Source organism: Homo sapiens, chromosome 4 (assembly GCF_000001405.40).
Source record: "Homo sapiens chromosome 4, GRCh38.p14 Primary Assembly".
Taxonomy (NCBI): Eukaryota; Metazoa; Chordata; class Mammalia; order Primates; family Hominidae; genus Homo; species Homo sapiens.
In genome coordinates this window covers 185,644,105-185,662,536 of record NC_000004.12, presented here as the reverse complement: position 1 = coordinate 185,662,536, position 18,432 = coordinate 185,644,105, and the positions used below count along the sequence as shown (strand labels likewise).

The following is an 18,432-nucleotide window of genomic DNA, read 5'->3' as shown; positions in this document are numbered from 1 at the left end:
TGATACCATTTGGCACCTCTGTTGGCAGAGTGGCATGCCCACTAGTCAGCCACTTTCATTCTTCCTAACCACTCCCTGGACCCTCAGATACACAAGAGAGTGATTTTCAGAAATAAGGGAATAGAGAGAAGGCAAAGAATGTAGCATGCCCTCTGACATCAGTTTTCAAAATAAATAAGAGCTTGGCAGCTGATTACTCTCATGTGATTGGAAGTCTTTTATTATCACCTAATGGAATGATGTTTACAGGGAACTATGTGCTAATTTAACTCGATGCCTTTGCGCTTTTCTCAGAGCCAGATAACAGTGAATGGAAACTCAGGAGGTGCCGTGAGTCCCATGAGTTACTATCAGAGGCCGTTTTCCCCCTCGGCATATTCTCTCCCAGCCTCACTCAACTCCAGCATTGTCATGCAGCACGGCACATCCCTCGGTAAGTAATTTACTCACCGTGATTTCCATGGCAACCTCAATGCGGCAAGTACAACCACAGGAGAAAGATATGCGGCATCAAGGTGAGGCGGGAGCGCTCAGCACTCATGACCCTATCCCCAGGGAGAAACTGGGGCAGAGGACCCAACATGGGAGGAAATGGGCACCATGCTATTCCAAGACCATGTCTCCACCTGTGTCTGAGCCTGGTGTGGGCACTTAGATGTCTGAGGTGGTGGAGTAGAAAGAAAAAGAAAATGGCTACTTAGGGCAAGGGGGTTTGTGCCACTGGAGGACATGAATGCAGGTTTTCCACTAGGGCAGCTTGTTCGGACTTGGAAGAGCTTCCACCATGGACTATTTCCTGGGGTCTATATAAGGGAGAATCGTTTGACAGTTAAAACAGTGTAACAGGAGGACAGGCTGTCCCACATAGCAGGGACGCAGTCATCTACTGGCTCACACAAGGAGAAAACCACCATTCAAACCAAGGCTGGAAGACCTGCAGTCAGGGATATGGTAGCAGGAAGCCACACAAGAGAAACTTAAGTGTTCCCTTAAATGAAGGTTCTGTCATTGTATAGAGCAATCGTTCTCAACCCTCTGAGGACTAGGAATTCAGTGAAAGATAGAGCTCTCCTCCAGAAAACAAATGGACATACGGACGTTCATAAAAAATTGTAAGCAGATAATTTCCTGGGGCTCATGGACTTTTTGTGGCCTCCTGTGAAAGAAGCTTTGCTGTACAGTGATAGAAATGCTCTTACATGGTCAAGTATGTTCAGATAGTTCAGAAAATAATGTGATAAATACTTTTTTTTTTTTTTTCAAGATGGAGTCTCACTCTGTCGCCCAGGCTGGAGTGCAATGGGGCGATCTCGGCTCACTGCAACCTCTGCCTCCTGGGTTCCAGTGATGCTCCTGCCTCAGCCTCCTGAGTAGCTGGGATTACAGGTGCCCGCCACCGCACCCAGCTAATTTTGTATTTTTAGTACAGACAGGGGGTTTCACCATGTTGGCCAGGTTGGTCTCGAACTCCTGACCTCAGGTGATCCACCTGCCTCGACCTCCCTAAGTGCTGGGATTACAGGCATGAGCCACCGTGCCCGGCCCATAAATATTTCTTAGTTTGTAAAAATGTAACTTAAAAACCTAAAATATCAAAAAAAATACGAAATTGAACTATCATAGGAATTCAGGCTGTACAAGTTTCCATGATGTCGACTCACTAGGAAGCTTCTAGGACAGCAGGGAGCAGAGGGGAATTCTCAGGACAGCAGCACCATCCTGCACCTCCCAGAAAAGGAGAGGCCTGGTCCTCTGGCCACAGGGGCCAGCAACAGGGGGAAAGAAACTAAAACCCAGGACTTGAACCACCATGTCTTCTTTGACACAGACAGTGCACCTCCTTCCCCAGCACTGATTCAGTATTGAGAGGCTATGATGCTGTTCGTTTATTCAGGGATGTTTTATGTCACCATCCAGCATGTGCATGGTGGAACTCAGCTTCTGAGGTCAACCAAAGCTCTATAACTATAAAACTTTAAAGGTAGCCGCGGGACTTATTAAAGTCTAAATATATCTGTGCCTTCGCTGATGCTATGCCTGAGGATCATCTGTGAATCCTACAATGATGTCCTTTTAGAGTTAAGAAAGTAAAACTGGTTTATGCCGAAATTTTGCCCTTTAACAATCAGCCCATAGTGTGGTGTTATAATGGAAGTCCATTATATCTAGATTGTTTAAAATGGAACTATGCATTTACACACATATAAAGTAAAACTCGACAAATTATTCTAGCCACAGCTTTTTCCCAAATAATTATTAACAAAGCCTGACTCTGTCTCATTGCCTGTCTTAGTGAATGCAGTTTTGTCCCTATCCCCACCCAACAACAACAACAAAAATACTTGAATGTAGATAGGCTTTGATTTTAGAATATATTGATAAGTAGATTTTACATATAAAATATTCTGCATGGGAAGAAATTCCCAATGTAAACACTGAACAAATTCCAGCTGGCCAGTGCTGTGATAAGGTTTCGGAGGAATATGTACATCTACCTTGCCCTAGATGAATTTTACACTTAGTTTAGGACAAAAGATTGCTAAGATGACAGCTAGTGGACCATATATGAGAATAATAAAATAAAGGGTTAACTTATATTGCATAAGGTATGGGTTCATAGAATGTAATGGATCAGATGTGAAGGCAGAGTTGATTCTCCTTGCTTAGAGTAGGACTTTGCACATGCTGGTGTTCAAAAAACATTCGTCGCTAATAAAAATACTAGTATCATGGAGGCCCACTCAAGTCCTTTTTGGAATTAAATAGAAAGTCAATTAGTGTCAAATATCTCACCGTGTCTTAATAAGGACTAGCTTAGCCGGGCGCGGTGGCTCACGCCTGTAATCCCAGCACTTTGGAAGGCCGAGGCGGGTGGATCACGAGGTCAGGAGATCGAGGCCAGTCTGGCCAACATGGTGAAACCCCGTCTCTACTAAAAATACAAAAAAAAAAATTAGCTGGGCGTGATGGCGGGCACCTGTAGTCCCAGCTACTCGGGAGGCTGAGGCAGGAGAACGGCGTGAACCCAGGAGGTGGAGCTTGCAGTGAGCCGAGATCGCGCCACTGCACTCCAGCCTGGGTGACTGAGCAAGACTCCGTCTCAAAAAAAATAAAGAAGTAAAAATAAGGACTAGCTTGAATGTTATTTTCACATTCAAGGGGCCAGTAGCAGGGGGAAAGAAACTACAACCCGGGACTTCAACCACCATGTCTTCTTTGACAGCAGCCAGCACACCTCCTTCCCCAGCACTGATTCAGTGTTGAAAGGCTATGATGCTGTTCGTTTATTCAGGGACATTTTATGTCACCATCCAGCACATAAACTGCACATAAAGCAGTTTTATAACTAGCCTTATCCATTCTTCATCAAAAAATGTATTAAAAATGACTTTCTGATGCAAACTAAATTGAAAATAGTCATAATCATAGTAATAGCAGTTACAAATGTTACAATGGATTTTACCTCAGAGAGATCTGAATTTTAATTACCCTTATATTGATGAGTTAAAATTTCTTAAAAAGCTTCCTTATGGCCGGCCACGGTGGCTCACGCCTGTAATCCCAGCACTTTGGGAGGCCGAGGCGGGCGGATCATGAGGTCAGGAGATCAGGACCATCCTAGCTAGCATGGTGAAACCCCGTCTCTACTAAAAATACAAAAAATTGTTTGTATTTTGTACAAAAATTTTTTGTACAGGCATGGTGGCACGCACCTGTAGTCCCAGCTACTCTGGAGGCTGAGGCAGGAGAATCGCTTGAACCCAGGAGGCTGAGGTTGAGACCACACCACTGCACTCCAGCTGGGTGACAGAGCGAGACTCCATCTCAAAAAAAAAAAAAAAAAGCTTACTTATTTTATACAAATTTTTCATGAAAAATACATTTATACATGATATATATCATATACACATAATGATATCAATGAGTCCCACCCTGAAACATGAGAATTTTTTTCATTTCCACCTTAAAGGACTTTCTGAGTGGCAGTCCTGACAAACCATGATATAAAGAGTATATACAAAGTGTCATTCTTTGTCACCAACATTTTCAAATTAATTGCAGAAAAATATAAAGGCATATTATTAATCATACCAGAGGAACGGTAATAATGATGATTTTTTTAAAATTCCTGTGTATTAGAAGTAAATGGACTATATACTGCATGTCTGTACTCTGTTGCTTCTGAAAGTATTCTAGAAGTTACTAAAAAACATGAAGAACTCGATAAGCCTCATCTAAATTATATCCTTAGGGCAGTTTTTGTCATCAAAGAGTAAAAAGTCATAGTTTTTGATATTTTAAGGTAAAAATGCACATAGGAAATCGTACTAATAATTTTACAGCATTTATTTATTCAGAAGCTTTCATGTCCAAAGGCTTGGATGTGAAGATTTTTTTAAGTGATTTTTGGTTTTGCTTCATTTTTATGAAATCACTGTTACTGACTCAACAGTCATGTCTTTGTCTGGAAATACATTTCAAAACCTATAAATAATAGTAGTAGCAGTATCACAAGAATAATATTGATGTAAATGATGACCTGAGGGAAATTACTGAACTTGTCTCAGCTCCTGCCCCTTATCTATAACACTGGTTCTTGCTCCCCCTATCCTGCCCTCCCTCAAAGATTACTGGAAGGATAAGAAGAGATAATGCATTTAGAGCACTTCCTAACTCAGAGGCCTCCACACAGTCATTTAACAAATGCCATTCTTCCCTCAGCCTTCTTCATAAAATGGTGAGGCCCTTGTTGGTATAGGTCTGTTCCCCGCACACCTACACAGTTTCCACCAGCTCAGATGGAAAGTAAATGAGTTAAAAGGGACAGTGATGGCAATATGGTCTCTGTGTTACAGTTGGCATAAATATACAACAAGACACATGAATTTATGATTCCCTGTGCAACGAATACGTTCCATGTTACCAAATTTTCTGTGCAGATTCCACAGACACATATCCCCAGCATGCGCAGTCTCTGGATGGCACCACCAGCAGCTCTATCCCCCTGTACCGATCCTCAGAGGAAGAGAAGAGAGTGACAGTCATCAAAGCCCCGCATTACCCAGGGATCGGGCCCGTGGATGAATCCGGAATCCCCACAGCAATTAGAACGGTAGGAAATGCCAGCGTGTGCGTCTGTCTGGGGCTGTGCACAGACTCCACAAAGGACGGATTGTCCACGGCTTTGTGCATTCCTAGGGTCTTATATAAGGAGGATTGCCCTCCGTGCCATCCGACTTCTCATGAATGTTATGCTGTGTGTGGCAGAGAAAGAAAGCTGTTGATGGGAGAGAATTACACAATCTGTTTTTCCATTTGAATGAAACATCATGAACATTGCGATTTTGTTAAATGGTAAAACTGTGTTGTGTGGTTTAGTTTGTTTGTTTGTTTGTTTTTCTTTTACCTTTTACCAAGGAGGCTTAGGGCAATAGAGAGAAAAGAGAAGGAACAAGACAATGGAAATTCTTTGGCTGCATTGAATTCCCACATGCATTGCGAATAAAGCAGTGATGTGTTCGTTTTTTGAAATAGATGTGTGTTAACACCGGGAGATTGGAAGCTGTGATTTGGGAGTTGGGAGGTGAGATGATTGGAGTGAAGAGAGTTAATGTCATGGAAAGGAAAAGCTGTCTGAAGAAAAATACACATTTTAATGTCCCTCTTCAGCCGTGCCTGCTGAGAGCTCTCCTGGGATGATAAGTGAAAGTGTTTGGATTTTTTTTTAAGTTTTAAAACTCTGCCAAAGCATTGCTCAGTGTATCTGGGCAGCCCCTTCCGGCAAAACGCAGCAGTAGCAGAGGCAGCTTCTGAGAGCCTGGGCAGGCAGCAGCTGGCTGACCAAGTCCACTGGAAGAGAAGGCTTGTGCCAGCCGGGAGAAGGAAGCCGGGGACAGGATGAAAGCAACAACACCTTTGCAGGTGAAGTTGGGGGCCATGCGGGGAGGGACTGCAGCTGCATATACTTTGCAGCAAGACCCATGTAAAGCTGGGGTGTGGCCAAGAGCTGCTCCCCTGGAATGCAGACCTGGGCAGCCAAGACAATAAGGGATAGAGGCAAAGAATGGGAAAGAGAGCAGGAAAAAAAAAAAAAAAGCCGTGGTAAGATTGGAAACAGTCAAAAAGAACTAACGATAAAGTGTGGGGATTTTCTTCTCTCCTTGACTTTACATTCTTATATGGGGATTATGTGTTTTATATACAGACAGAAGAGTTTAAAATGGATTATTCTCAGCATCTATATTACAATTGAAAGCCAAAAAGTAAATCTGTACAGCAGTTACTGGGGTTTTAGACTCTTTAGATTGAGGAAACGTTGAATGTGATATGACATTCTAACAATCTGTCTTGAAACTGACGATTGCCATATTTATGTGCCAAAGAAAAGTTCAGGGATTATGACCAATATTCTTCATTTTATGATGATTACATGTTTCTGGTGATGATGTTTTCTTGTTCATTTCCCTTCTAAGATTTCTGACTCAAAATGGTTAAATTTGAAACTTTCTTCTAATTATATAGGGATAGACAGTCAGACAGAAATGGTGTCATTGGTTTTGTGTAACTGGCACTTGAGGCATAGTATAGACAAAATTAAGAAAGCCCTGATTCTATGTAGTTATAGATTCTGTCTGAGAGGATTTTATCAAAGATATCTGGGTATGTTTTTAGGTCAATAAATGATATATAATGGACATGCAAGCCTGGTCCATGTTTTCTTCCTTTATAAGACATAATTTCCTTAACTAACCAGACTTTGCCTGGTTAGTTTCAAAAGGAAAAACTGAGATGCTAGAGATGGTTGATGAAAATTAAATCATCTTAAAATTTTTAAAATGTTTATCAACTGCCAAATCAAAAGCACGTTTGGGTATGCATAAGCAAACACACTAAACATTTAATGCCAGTTTCCCTTCTATAAAATAGAAAACACAATATAACCAATGCAGAAGTTCCTTATAAGGAACTGTAATTTTTATGCACAATTGTTGTCTTACTTGGACCTTTAAAACTTGACAAAGAAGGTCCAGGTCTATGAGGACTCTCCTCTTACACTGACTATACAGCCCTCCAGAGTACATCCCCATGTATAGCTGTGGTTATAAATGTCAAGTCAGGCTGTCTCTGAGCCACAGCAGGCCAAGACTCTCCAAGGTTGTTTTTCTTTCTCATGTGTAGAAAGTAATGATGATCAGATTCAGTGTATTTGCCAAAGGCGGTACTGTCACAATGTACCATGCTGCAGTATCGTTTTAGACAGCCAGCCTATGCCGAGGAAACAGAATTTTGTAAAGTCATCCAGAAACTCTAGAAAGCCAAGAGTCAACAAACAGTACTTTTGAGCTATTTTAATGCAGGGAATCAGCTCTCCAGATTGCCCTCTCTCATGTGACCTGGGACATCTATGTGAACCTTTCAGTGCTGTTCTTCAAAACAACAAAAATCGCCAGGGCTCAGCTCCCATGAGATTGTGTCATTAAGGCCAGCTAGTTAAGTGAAATACAAGATTCTTTTCTTCTACTTCCAATATAACACTTGTTTGAGTATTTTCAAAACTGAAAAGGAGAAAAAAATAGAACAGAGTCACTGTATACTGCTATGTAGAAAATATGTCCTTTTTTATCTTTTTTGAAATCTCTGCGTGTTAAATCAGTGTAGAGTTCTGATGTTTTGAAAACTGTAGGAATGTAAAAATTCAGGTCTATTTAGTCAAGGTTGTAGAAAAAACGGCATAGTGAATTGCTAGTAGCTATTTTTCATGCAAAATGATTTTACGTACAAAAGTAAACTTCCTGAAATTTGAGTAGACTATTTTCTTATTCTCAGCCTTAGGCATAGCGATCTCCATGATGGCATTTACAAAAGGAACTTTAAATGCTTAGAGTACTTCTTTTAGAAAGGGACATAGAGTTTTCGTATTTTATTTTTCCAGCTTCATATTTCCCTTTGCCAGCAGGGCATTTTCTGGCATCTTTGTGCTCACCATATAAAGCTAGCAGATGGCATCACTGTGAGATCCTACCTGATATAGGCCCTCCAGCAAGTGAAGAAAAAAAAACCTGTCTGTCAACATGTATTGCCATATACAGTGATAGGACTTACTTAGTAGGCTTCCTTGTTGCCATCAGCACGTCCAGGAAAACATTTTTGCACAACACTATGTTGTATTTTCTGTTGCTTTGGTACAGTAAAAGAAATGAGGTTTAATGAAAGAGAAATCAGTCCTTTATAAAAATAAACTTTCTTGAAAGATACATGTTTAGCAACTTTGAACCAGCAAATAATAGACCTTTGCTTCACCACTGCAATCCCTTCCACCATGTCCCGTCCTTTGACTGAATAGTCAATCAATAACCTCAACTCTTCCATGGAGAAAGAGCCGAGAATGAAGAGCTGACTCATAACGAAGTCAAGTGGCCCTTCATGTTAACCTGTATTTGGGGTGATTTTTCAGAATAATATATTCTCAGAGGTCAAAATAAATTTAGATATAGCACAAAACCCTTAATGTCCAGAGGAAAAATGCAGTGACCACATTTCTGGGGAAAAAAAGATCAGGCAATAAAATCTAACCCAAAGCTCAGTCTAGTAAGTATAAGAATGCTTTCGTATCAGTCCTAACAGAAGTTTTTAAATCGAGATCTGTCTTGGAACGTCTGGTGTGTTTAGTTACTATAAGCAGAATCATCAAGCCTGTTGCCCAGGTAGCTCTCAGAGAGTTGGGGTAAGATCTTGCCAAGCAAAATCTGTGAGTACGATTATAAAAGCATGTGTCTACTTTTACAGGTATCCAGAAAGGCAGAGCTCTATCCAATAGGCTACGTTCATTCATTATTTCATTCTACAAATATTTGCAGTTCCCTAGTGTTATTATTTATTGAGTAGTTGTTATATTCTAGGCATTGTTCTAGGTCTTGTGTATACATTGTCTCATTCGATTTCCATAACAATCCTATGATTTAGATATAATTATGTCACTTTAGAGAGGAGAAAACTGAGGCTCAAGAAGGTGACATGACTTGCCCAGATTCGTATTGCTAGGGTGTATTAAGCAGCAATTTAAGGAACCAAGATTTGAATCTTAGTTCAAGACTCTACATTAATTTCATCTTTCCACTACAGCCTACTGCTCCCCTCATGTCCGACGCCTGGATCCGTAAGGACTTCTACTCTCAAGGAACCTACAATTTTAGCCGAGCAAATGTTGTATACACTCTGTTATCATATTAGCATTTTTGAAGCAATATCTACATTCTTAAATTTTCCGTAGGACTCTGGGATGCCTACTACATTCAGTATTTTAGTAGCTTAGACTAGTAAATAGCAAATTTATTTCTCTAGAGCCACACTGATCAGAATACAATTTGAGTCAAAAATATTCCCCAGTTAATTCTGAAAACACTGTCTTACAGAACATTCAATAAAAAGCATCTAAGGATAATGATCATTATCTACCAAAAGGAGTTAAACAAATTAGTACAACAATAACTTACATTAAGTGAACTTTATATATTTGTGCAAATATCAACTCTCTAGTGCAGGGTACAGCTATAACTTGAAAAAATAAAACCATAGCATCTAATGTTCCAACTCAGCCTAAATTCAAACACAAGGCCATATGTTTACAAACTGCACACATAACTAAGTAAATTGCTGAAACTGTCATGAAGCCATAGCAAAGAGTCAGAACATTTTATCACAGAATGGGACTCTGTTATTAAGAACATAAAATAGAGAAATGAAAACACTGAGAAGCGATGTTGATTGGAAGCCAGTTTGTAACCATTGGACGCTCTCTTCATTACAGACAGTCGACCGGCCCAAGGACTGGTACAAGACGATGTTTAAGCAAATTCACATGGTGCACAAGCCGGGTATGTCTGCTGCTCTGCTTTCTGATGAGGTCCTTGTGGGTTGAAGGGACTACATTCGTCTTTTGCATCGGTTTGATTCACACACAATGTCAAGACCCCAGCAAACTCCGTGTCCCCTTTCTTTTCAGCATGCCTCCTGTTCTCCTTCTGTCACCCCTCCGGTGACAGATCCCTGTGCCTCTGCCTCCCACCTGAGCTGCCAAGAAGCCTCCCCATGGAGGACAACCAGGCACTCTGGCCTCAGCCCTCCATCCTCCCCTGTCCACAGTCTAAATTGGTGTGTTGCCTGGGTGAAAAACACATTGTTCCTCTGTCCACCCCTGTCTGCTCTCATCAGGAGAGTGAGCCTGCGCGGGTCTGCCTGAGCCTGCTCTGTAGACAGGAGACCACTAAAGCACTTAGTAAAGGAAATTTGCGATCCAGAGCAGAGAGGTTTCTGGGGAAGCGAGGACAAGGGCCTGACTTTGCATGCTACGAAGAGGGCAGCAAGACGAATATGTTACAGATAAAAAAGGGCAGTTTGCAGAGGCCTGTGGTGGCACACACCTGTAATCCCAGCTACTCAGAAGGCTAATGTGGGAGAATGATTTGAGCCCAGGGGTTGGAGGTTTGGAGGCTGCAGTAAGCAATGATCACCACTGCACTCCAGACTGGACGACAGGGTAAAACCCTGTCTCTTAAAAAAAAAGAAAAAAAGAAAGAAAATGGCATTATGAACTAGGAAAAATACGTTGCTTTTCTAACAAATTTCTGTTGTTTGTCTGAAGTTCTGCTGTCTCGTTGTCCTTTGGTGACAATCTATATTACCATAATATTTATGTTTCATTTTCTAGATGATGACACAGACATGTATAATACTCCTTATACATACAATGCAGGTAGGATGGGTTTCCTTGCTCGCAATGACTATTTTATGCTCAGCAATGTTTGGAAGAACGACACGGTCACCTTTTTTCCCCTTCTGTTTGAGCACATGTTTTCAGTTCATATATTAGGAGGAGGATTTCTTTTCTTTTCTCAGAGCGTGCATAACAAAAGGATTGACTTTTCTCATGGAAATGAGAACTAATACTGGTTTATCTCATTCATTCCCACTGTTGGTTTATTCTCAGCTTCAGGAATGTTTAACCAAAGTGTGAAGGATAGGCTGAAAGGACACACTGTAACCCAGGGTACAAAATAAGATAAAGATCTTTTATCAGCAGAGAGAATGATTACAATTGTGTAAGATCTTTCAGATACACTTCACCAAAAACAAGTCAAACAAAGTATTCTGTGACCTTGTCCCTGCCTTTTGCTCCAAAATGCAACCATTCATTGAAAGAGTTTAAAAATCCCCCTTGGCGGGGCCACTTTTCTGACTCAGAATTGCCAGTGGTCACAATAGAATGGCTTCAGTTCCAGGCACTGCCACTTGGATTGGCGAGCCTTGGTATCTCGTGCAGGGGTCTGCAGGCTGGAAGGAGGGACCCCTGACAAATGTTTTTCCCTTCATCACTTTCTCCTGAGTGTTGCCTCGGGATTCTGCCCAGGGCTCCTCTCCCTGCCCAGTCACAGGCTCAGGACAGGTGCACAACTATTTTTTTTCTTCTTTCTTTAGACCAGGCTCGGAGGCTGGCACTGCTCCCCTCCCCTTCAGCAGCTGCAACCTCACTTGGGGTCCTCTGGGCAGCCTGGGGTCGCATGATCCTCCTGTTCTGCACCCCTGGAGACCACATTCAGGCCCTTTAACTATTTGGGATTGTGCTCCTATCTCCAAAGACAAATTGATAGAGGGAAAATCAGTAGAACAAACTCAGCAAGCCCTCTGGGTTTAAGTCTTGGCTCGCCCCACTGATAGCTTCAGGCCCACAAAGATGTTTCCCTTAATTTCATCCCTGCTCCCACGCCCACCAAACTCACCTCCTTTATTTAGCTCAAAAGTTGAAGTCCGACTGTTGAATCCAAGCAAAACTGTAAGTGTAGATGTTGTCTCTTTTCATTTGCTGTGGAAATGTGCATGGACTTTCAGGAGAAGCGAACGGGTACAAATAGAATTAGCTCCAATGATTGGGTGCAGGAAAATTTAGAATTTTTATAACTGTTTTAATATTGAGGTTTGTGTCACATTAGTGATTAGTGAATGGAACAGCAGTGATATATTACTTTGTACAGCCCTACAAGCTGATCATTTGATCAGTGGACGAGTCAACTGCAGCTAGTCTCTTTGCTCTCTACTAACCGTGCAAGCCATGGCTTCACACCTTGCACTTTTCTGCCTTTTTTTCTATACCATCCCTGCTCCCCTCTTGCCCTGCTCACCGAAACTCATTCAGGGCTGACTCTGGACTCGTGGGTTCCATAATACCTTCTCTGAGCAATCTACCACCTACTAGCATCCTTTAATTCTTACTATGTGTTTTCTTCATTTGGTCTTTATTATCTTTTACCAATTATTTTCCATCATAATTCTATTTGTGTCTGATTTTCCCAGGTGCACTCTAAGCATATTGAGGACTCATGTTTCCTTGTACCTTGCACAGCACTTTATAAACACAACTGTGTGCAATATTTTGTTTGACTACAATTAGCATGTCAATTTTCATATGTAAATCAGGGTTTTTAAAGTATTAGAAGATATTTGGAAACAGTTCCGTTTTTAATCTTGCTCTGAAAACTGAACTATTTTCTTAGTGTATACAATTGAAGAGAAAATTTGCTGAGTGCTTATAAGTCTATTCCTAGTACCAGTCTGAATTATTACTAGTTCTGAAATAATTGACAAAGATTTACTGTAATCAGGGCTTAGGTACAGAATAAATTTGTAATTAATAAATTAATGGAAATTAGTACATTAATATTAATAAATTAAGAAACTACCTTCTAATGTATGCATTATGAATATGCTTATTGATAATAATTTCTATGCAATCATTGGCTATTTTGAGGGGGACAAATAATTTAATTCATTTTTAAGAGGTGATTTGCTTCTGTTTTTTGTCTGCTTTTGTTTTTTGTCATGATAGGTCTGTACAACCCACCCTACAGTGCTCAGTCACACCCTGCTGCAAAGACCCAAACCTACAGACCTCTTTCCAAAAGCCACTCCGACAACAGCCCCAATGCCTTTAAGGATGCGTCCTCCCCAGTGCCTCCCCCACATGTTCCACCTCCAGTCCCGCCGCTTCGACCAAGAGATCGGTCTTCAACAGAAAAGTAAGGCATTTCCCCCCAGGGTGGCCTATGTTTCGCTTAGGATAAAAATAAGTCTACATGGCATTCAGTAGAAGAATCAGTGCACCTGCCACAGAGAGAGCGGATGTGTAATCTTGCTAGTCTATACATATACCATATTGACCTCCTCTGCTGGGATTGTAGCAAATGTTTTCCCTGTCTTCTTTCATGATACTGGAGTGCCCTAAATTAGACTTGAAGTAATATGGACACATTTTCTGCTTTTTGATCAATACATACATATAAGAGACAAGTAAATAGAAATAATGGACATGTACTTCCTTTGGCATACCAGGTTACAGGCTATGCAGTTCATTTTCTGTTTCCCCAGGTCTATTAATAAGAGACATTTTTGAAAGCAGGGAAAGTTATTCAAAAATCATAATGAGGCATTAGTTAATAAGTGTCTGTGACTTGTTTCTACCAGTTTTTCAAGCTAATACGAGTTTTCCTTTCTCCACTGAAATATTTTTATACAAACTATCTACATGAAAATAAAAATTTATAAACACTTTTTTATTGTGTTATTTTTACTGGGATTATGACTAATACTTCTACTTATAGGTAACCTTCATTGAGCGCTCATTACAAGCCAAGCACTAGGCTAAGTGCTTTTTCTGTGTCATATCATTTGATTCCGAGAACAACCCAGTGAGATACTTTCTATTTTAAAGAGGAAGAAACTGCAGTTTAGAAAATGGTAGGAACTTACTCAGCTCATGCAGCTCGTTATGTCCAAGCCAGGGTCCAAGCTCAGCTCTGATTAAACCCAAGGCCTATGCTATCCTAGCAATTAATAAATAAGAATATAAAAATTATTTCTTATTAATACTGGTTATTAAGTGTTATCATACCCATTCCAGAAAAATTGTATTCAACACCCTATTGTACCATTAAGAGTAATTGATGATCAGGCCAGGCGTGGTGGCTCATGCCTGTAGTCCCAGCACTTTTTTTTTTTTTAAATGGAGTCTCACTCTGTTACCCAGGCTGGAGTGCAATGGTGTGATCTTGTCTCACTGCAACCTCCGACTCCCGGGTTCAAGCAATTACCAAGTAGCTGGGATTACAGGCACCAGCCACCACGCCCGGCTAATTTTTGTATGGTGTTTCACCACCTTGGCCAGGATGGTCTTAACTCCTGACCTCGTGATCCACCCACCTTGGCTTCCCAAAGTGCTAGGATTACAGGCGTGAGTCACTGCACCCAGCCAGTCCCAGCATTTTGGGAAGCCATGGTGTGTGGATTGCCTGAGGCCAGAGGTTCAAGACTGGCCTGGCCAACATGGCGAAATCCCATCTTCACTAAAAAAAAAAAACAAATAAAAATTTTATAATAGAGTAATTGATGATCATATAGGGCACAGCATCCCACCAAAACACACACATCGTGTGTGAAAGGGGTCTCATTTTAATACCAATCTCCTCAGGATGAATTATGTGAGGCCTTAAAATTGAGAAACAGTTTTCTAGACACAAATTGTTATCTTTGTCATCAAAAAATAACCAAAATTAACGTTTTGATTTAAAGGTATTACCCATCTGATATGTTTTGTTAAAATTAAATATCTCATTAAAACATATGATAACCTCCTAAAAAATTCCATATGGCTTTCATATGTATTATCTCATGTAATGCTCAAAACTCCTCTGCAAGGAAGAACAACACATTATTGCTGTCTGTGTTTTACACAAATGGAAAAAAATGAAGACTGAGAAAGTTTAAGGGGTCTTGCTCCATATCAGTCATGAATTTAGTAGAAAGCTAGGGCTTGTCCCTAATTCTGTCTCTTAGAGTATTTCTATTTCCAACGGGCCATGGAGCAAGAATTTCATTCCATTCCATGGAAGCAGAATTACCCCTATCTACAGTCAGAAAATCCTTCCTCCTAAAAATCATGGCCCCTGGGAGGCTGAGGAGAGAGGATGGCTTGAGCCCAGGAGTTTGAGTGAGATGGCAGCGAGCTGTGATCACACCACTGCACTCCAGCCTGGGCAACAGAGGAAGACTCTGTCTCGAAAAAAAAAAAAAAAAAGAAGCCTTCTTCTTTAGCTCAGTAGCCTAGAAAAGCTTAATTTTGTGAAACCCTTTTTTGAAGCTTTCCTTCGTAAGTCTTCTGACAGCCTCTTGGAAGATATTCCTTGGGGGAAAAGTGCTGGTTCCCATGAATGAGATGTTTGACTCTGGTTTTTCAAGGCTCACACCAAAAGACGACCTCCTGTTCCACACTGCCTGCTCTGGTGCACGCCAACCCACATGACACTTCTGTGCTCTTCCCAAGCGATGATCCCACTTCAAGAAATAAGATCAAACATGGTGTGTGCATTACTCCTTGTCACTTTGGATCAAGGATCCCAAAGGTCACAAAGTGGTGGGTTAAATGCTCATAGTTCAGCAGAGCATACTGCCACCTATTTTAAGCACAAATATACACAGCTGCCATTAGGAACCCAGGGACTCACTCTCTGCGCGTCTACAAACCCCTCATGTGACTTTTGGAGCCAGTGGCGGGGGAATGTGGTATTTTTCACAGGTTAACTTTTTATCCTGAGAGATTTTTTTTAAAACTATGCTAAAAGTAATGTTGAAAACAGATAACTGGTTTTACACAATTGCTTTAAGCAAAAAGGATTATTTTAATGTGTGATTTATTGTTTATTTCTAGGCATGACTGGGATCCTCCAGACAGAAAAGTGGACACAAGAAAATTTCGGTCTGAGCCAAGGAGTATTTTTGAATATGAACCTGGCAAGTCATCAATTCTTCAGCATGAAAGACCAGTAAGCACTTGTCATTAAACAGAATATGCCAGCTCGCTGGGCTCCCAGGGCTCCCCAATAAACCTGAATTTCAGACCCATTAGCAATTTTTGTCACAAAGGTAATCACTTAGAAATCATGTTTATTTTGTATAATGATTTGTACATCTCATCTCAGAATTGAAAGATACATGTTCTAATATATTGTCTTTACTGACCAAATACAAGTGTATGTGTGTGTGTATGTGTGTGTATTTATATATATATATATACACACACACATGCAGGTGTATATACATACACATATATACACATGTGTATGCACACACATATATATATTTATATGCAAGATTCATTTGCATGTAACTCTAACTGTGCCTAATCATTAATCAGAGTTTAACTTTTAAAAAAGTTCATAAGTGCAATACTTAATTGCTATCATAGCTTGCTAATGAGAAAAATCATTAATTAATCTCCCCAATATACATGGACCCAGGCAGTTCCATCCCTTGTTTTCCATATTGGCTTTTTAATATTTCTTTGGATGAAGGGAGAATTTTCCAAATGCCCTTTTCATAACAAGTTGTTTTAATTGCTTCTTATTAAATCCCTCCTCAGGTTACCAAGCCTCAAGCTTCCTGATTGATTGTCATTCTAATGGATCAAGATTATATTTCACTTTGCAGGATTTTTTCCAATTATTTAATTATATGCAAACAAAAATATCTATACACTTAAGAAGAACCACTTGCCTCCTCGAAGCGCAGGTTCACACATAGGTCTTCCCTTGGCCTTCTTTGGTTTTGATTCCCCAATACTCCCTTGCATGTCCTTTGCTTCCCCTCAGAAATCAGTGTCCTCAGGATTTTCTTTGAAACTCCACAGTTCCTCTGCATCTCCTTCCAAGCCTACTTCTAGGAAAACATTTGCAATCAATTGCAATTTACTCTCATTTTTGCTTTAAAAGAATTTTAGGTGTCAGTGAACAGGAAAAAGAGAGTTTTCTTTGTGGAGCTCCTTCAAGAGTCTCCAAGAAATCACACTCATATATAATCCAAGGCCAGCCCTGTGGTTTAATTGGAAACTCTAGCCTTGCCACACCCAACATGAGTGTCCTTGATTGAGTCTTTGAAACCCTGTGTTTGCGGTTGTGTTCTGGAGAAGCATGTTCAAAACCTTATCATCAGATAATTCATACATGATATTTGTCTAAGCCTTCTTACCCTTTCTTTAAATAACTCATATCTTTTAGAGTAACAGGACTACAAAAGAAAAACTGAAAGAAAAAAAAAATCACTGATTTGCAGGCACCATTGCAAACTTGTAACCCATTTACTAGTTTCTGTGATTGAGTATCATGCTACTCTGAAATTTCCAGAATGAGAATTGAGTGAAACACAATGTCATCATTGCAGAAAATTGAAAACAGTGAAATAATATATCTCAGATTTAAATTAAATAACAAAATTTTAATGATCTTTCTAGTAATTTATGAGACTCTTAGGATAACGAACATGGTAATGGTATTGGAATGCTTTGGTAGCCGTGGTGTCAGGAAACAGGATTGGTTTTAGACGCTCTCCCACCACGATGTTTCTATTATTTAGTCATTCAGTAAAACTGACTGAGCACCAGCTACATGCCAGGCTTTATGTGAGGTGCACAGCGGGGAACAGGACACACTCTCTACCTTGAGGAACTTCAAGTCTATCATTTAATATCTATGCAAGACTAGATCTGAGTTTGTGCAAAGTAAACAGCCTCTTATATGGTTAAAACAGACGCACACCTAAAAAACCCTCCCTTTGCTCCCTTTAGGGTTTATACATTGACCCTATCATTGTTATTGAAATTGTCACATTACTCTTGTCTTTGGGTTAAAAAAGACTTTAAAGACTCCTCGTTTTACAATAGCAATAATAATAGCAATAGCAATCATTGTAAATCTTTATTGAGCACTCACTATATGCCAGGCGCTGTAATTAGTAATTTATGCCTTATCTCATGTAAAGTTTCCAGCAGCCCTATTAAGCAGACACATGGCATTTCCATGTTACAGATGAAGAGACTGAAACACACATTAGCTCGCCTTGCCCCAGGGACACATGGTGGGAGCCAGAACTAGGAGTTGAGCCCAGGCATACTGATGCCTGGTGCACTTGGTCGCTGCTGTACAGCCACTCCAGGTGTGGCTGAGCAGGAAACACATTGAAGTAGCAGTTATTTGATTCCCTTATTTGATGATTTTGCAGTATAAATTAATTTATTTATTGGCTAATTTACAATAAAGTATACTTGATTTACTTTATCAGAAACTTAGGCCCTAAGTAGTTACCACACAGGACCAGTAGATGTGACTGGTTGTAAGACAGGAAACTCTGGAGCCATGAGTGTGACAGAGATTCGAGTGTGGATAGGTCTCTGCAGCCACAGGAGAAGATAAGTAGAAGGAACTTAGAAACTTGGAAGGAAGTGAGAATGGCTATCTTATGGAGAAATAGAAAGAACCAAAAATGTTAACCCTCCTAAACAATTTTGGAGAGGACCAGCCTTAAGCAGAATGGTTTGAGCTGGCCATATGGGAC

General features: G+C 40.4%; 1 protein-coding gene across 42 annotated transcripts in view, besides 1 other annotated feature; it reads left to right on the top strand.

Annotated features, from left to right (window-relative positions):
* SORBS2 (sorbin and SH3 domain containing 2) overlaps positions 1-18,432 on the top strand; it is a 370,850-nt gene that overhangs the window by 293,836 nt on the left and 58,582 nt on the right. For 31 of the 42 annotated variants that reach the window (NM_001394255.1, NM_001394267.1, NM_021069.6 and 28 more), the window contains 6 exons: positions 295-433; positions 4,941-5,113; positions 9,809-9,875; positions 10,709-10,753; positions 12,881-13,070; positions 15,755-15,869. In NM_001394255.1, coding sequence (NP_001381184.1) covers positions 295-433; positions 4,941-5,113; positions 9,809-9,875; positions 10,709-10,753; positions 12,881-13,070; positions 15,755-15,869 — 729 coding nt within the window. Of the gene's footprint in view, positions 1-294; positions 434-4,940; positions 5,114-5,790; positions 5,923-9,808; positions 9,876-10,708; positions 10,754-12,880; positions 13,071-15,754; positions 15,870-18,432 lie in introns of those variants that run through there. The other 11 variants (NM_001394264.1, NM_001394275.1, NM_001394274.1 and 8 more) reach the window with 3 other exon arrangements.
* Positions 10,908-11,202: a silencer, noted in NCBI's record as "tiled region #2405; HepG2 Repressive DNase matched - State 5:Enh". NCBI's record gives its function as "represses a minimal TATA promoter and a strong SV40 promoter by Sharpr-MPRA in HepG2 cells {active_cell/tissue: HepG2}" and the evidence as "EXISTENCE:reporter gene assay evidence [ECO:0000049][PMID:27701403]".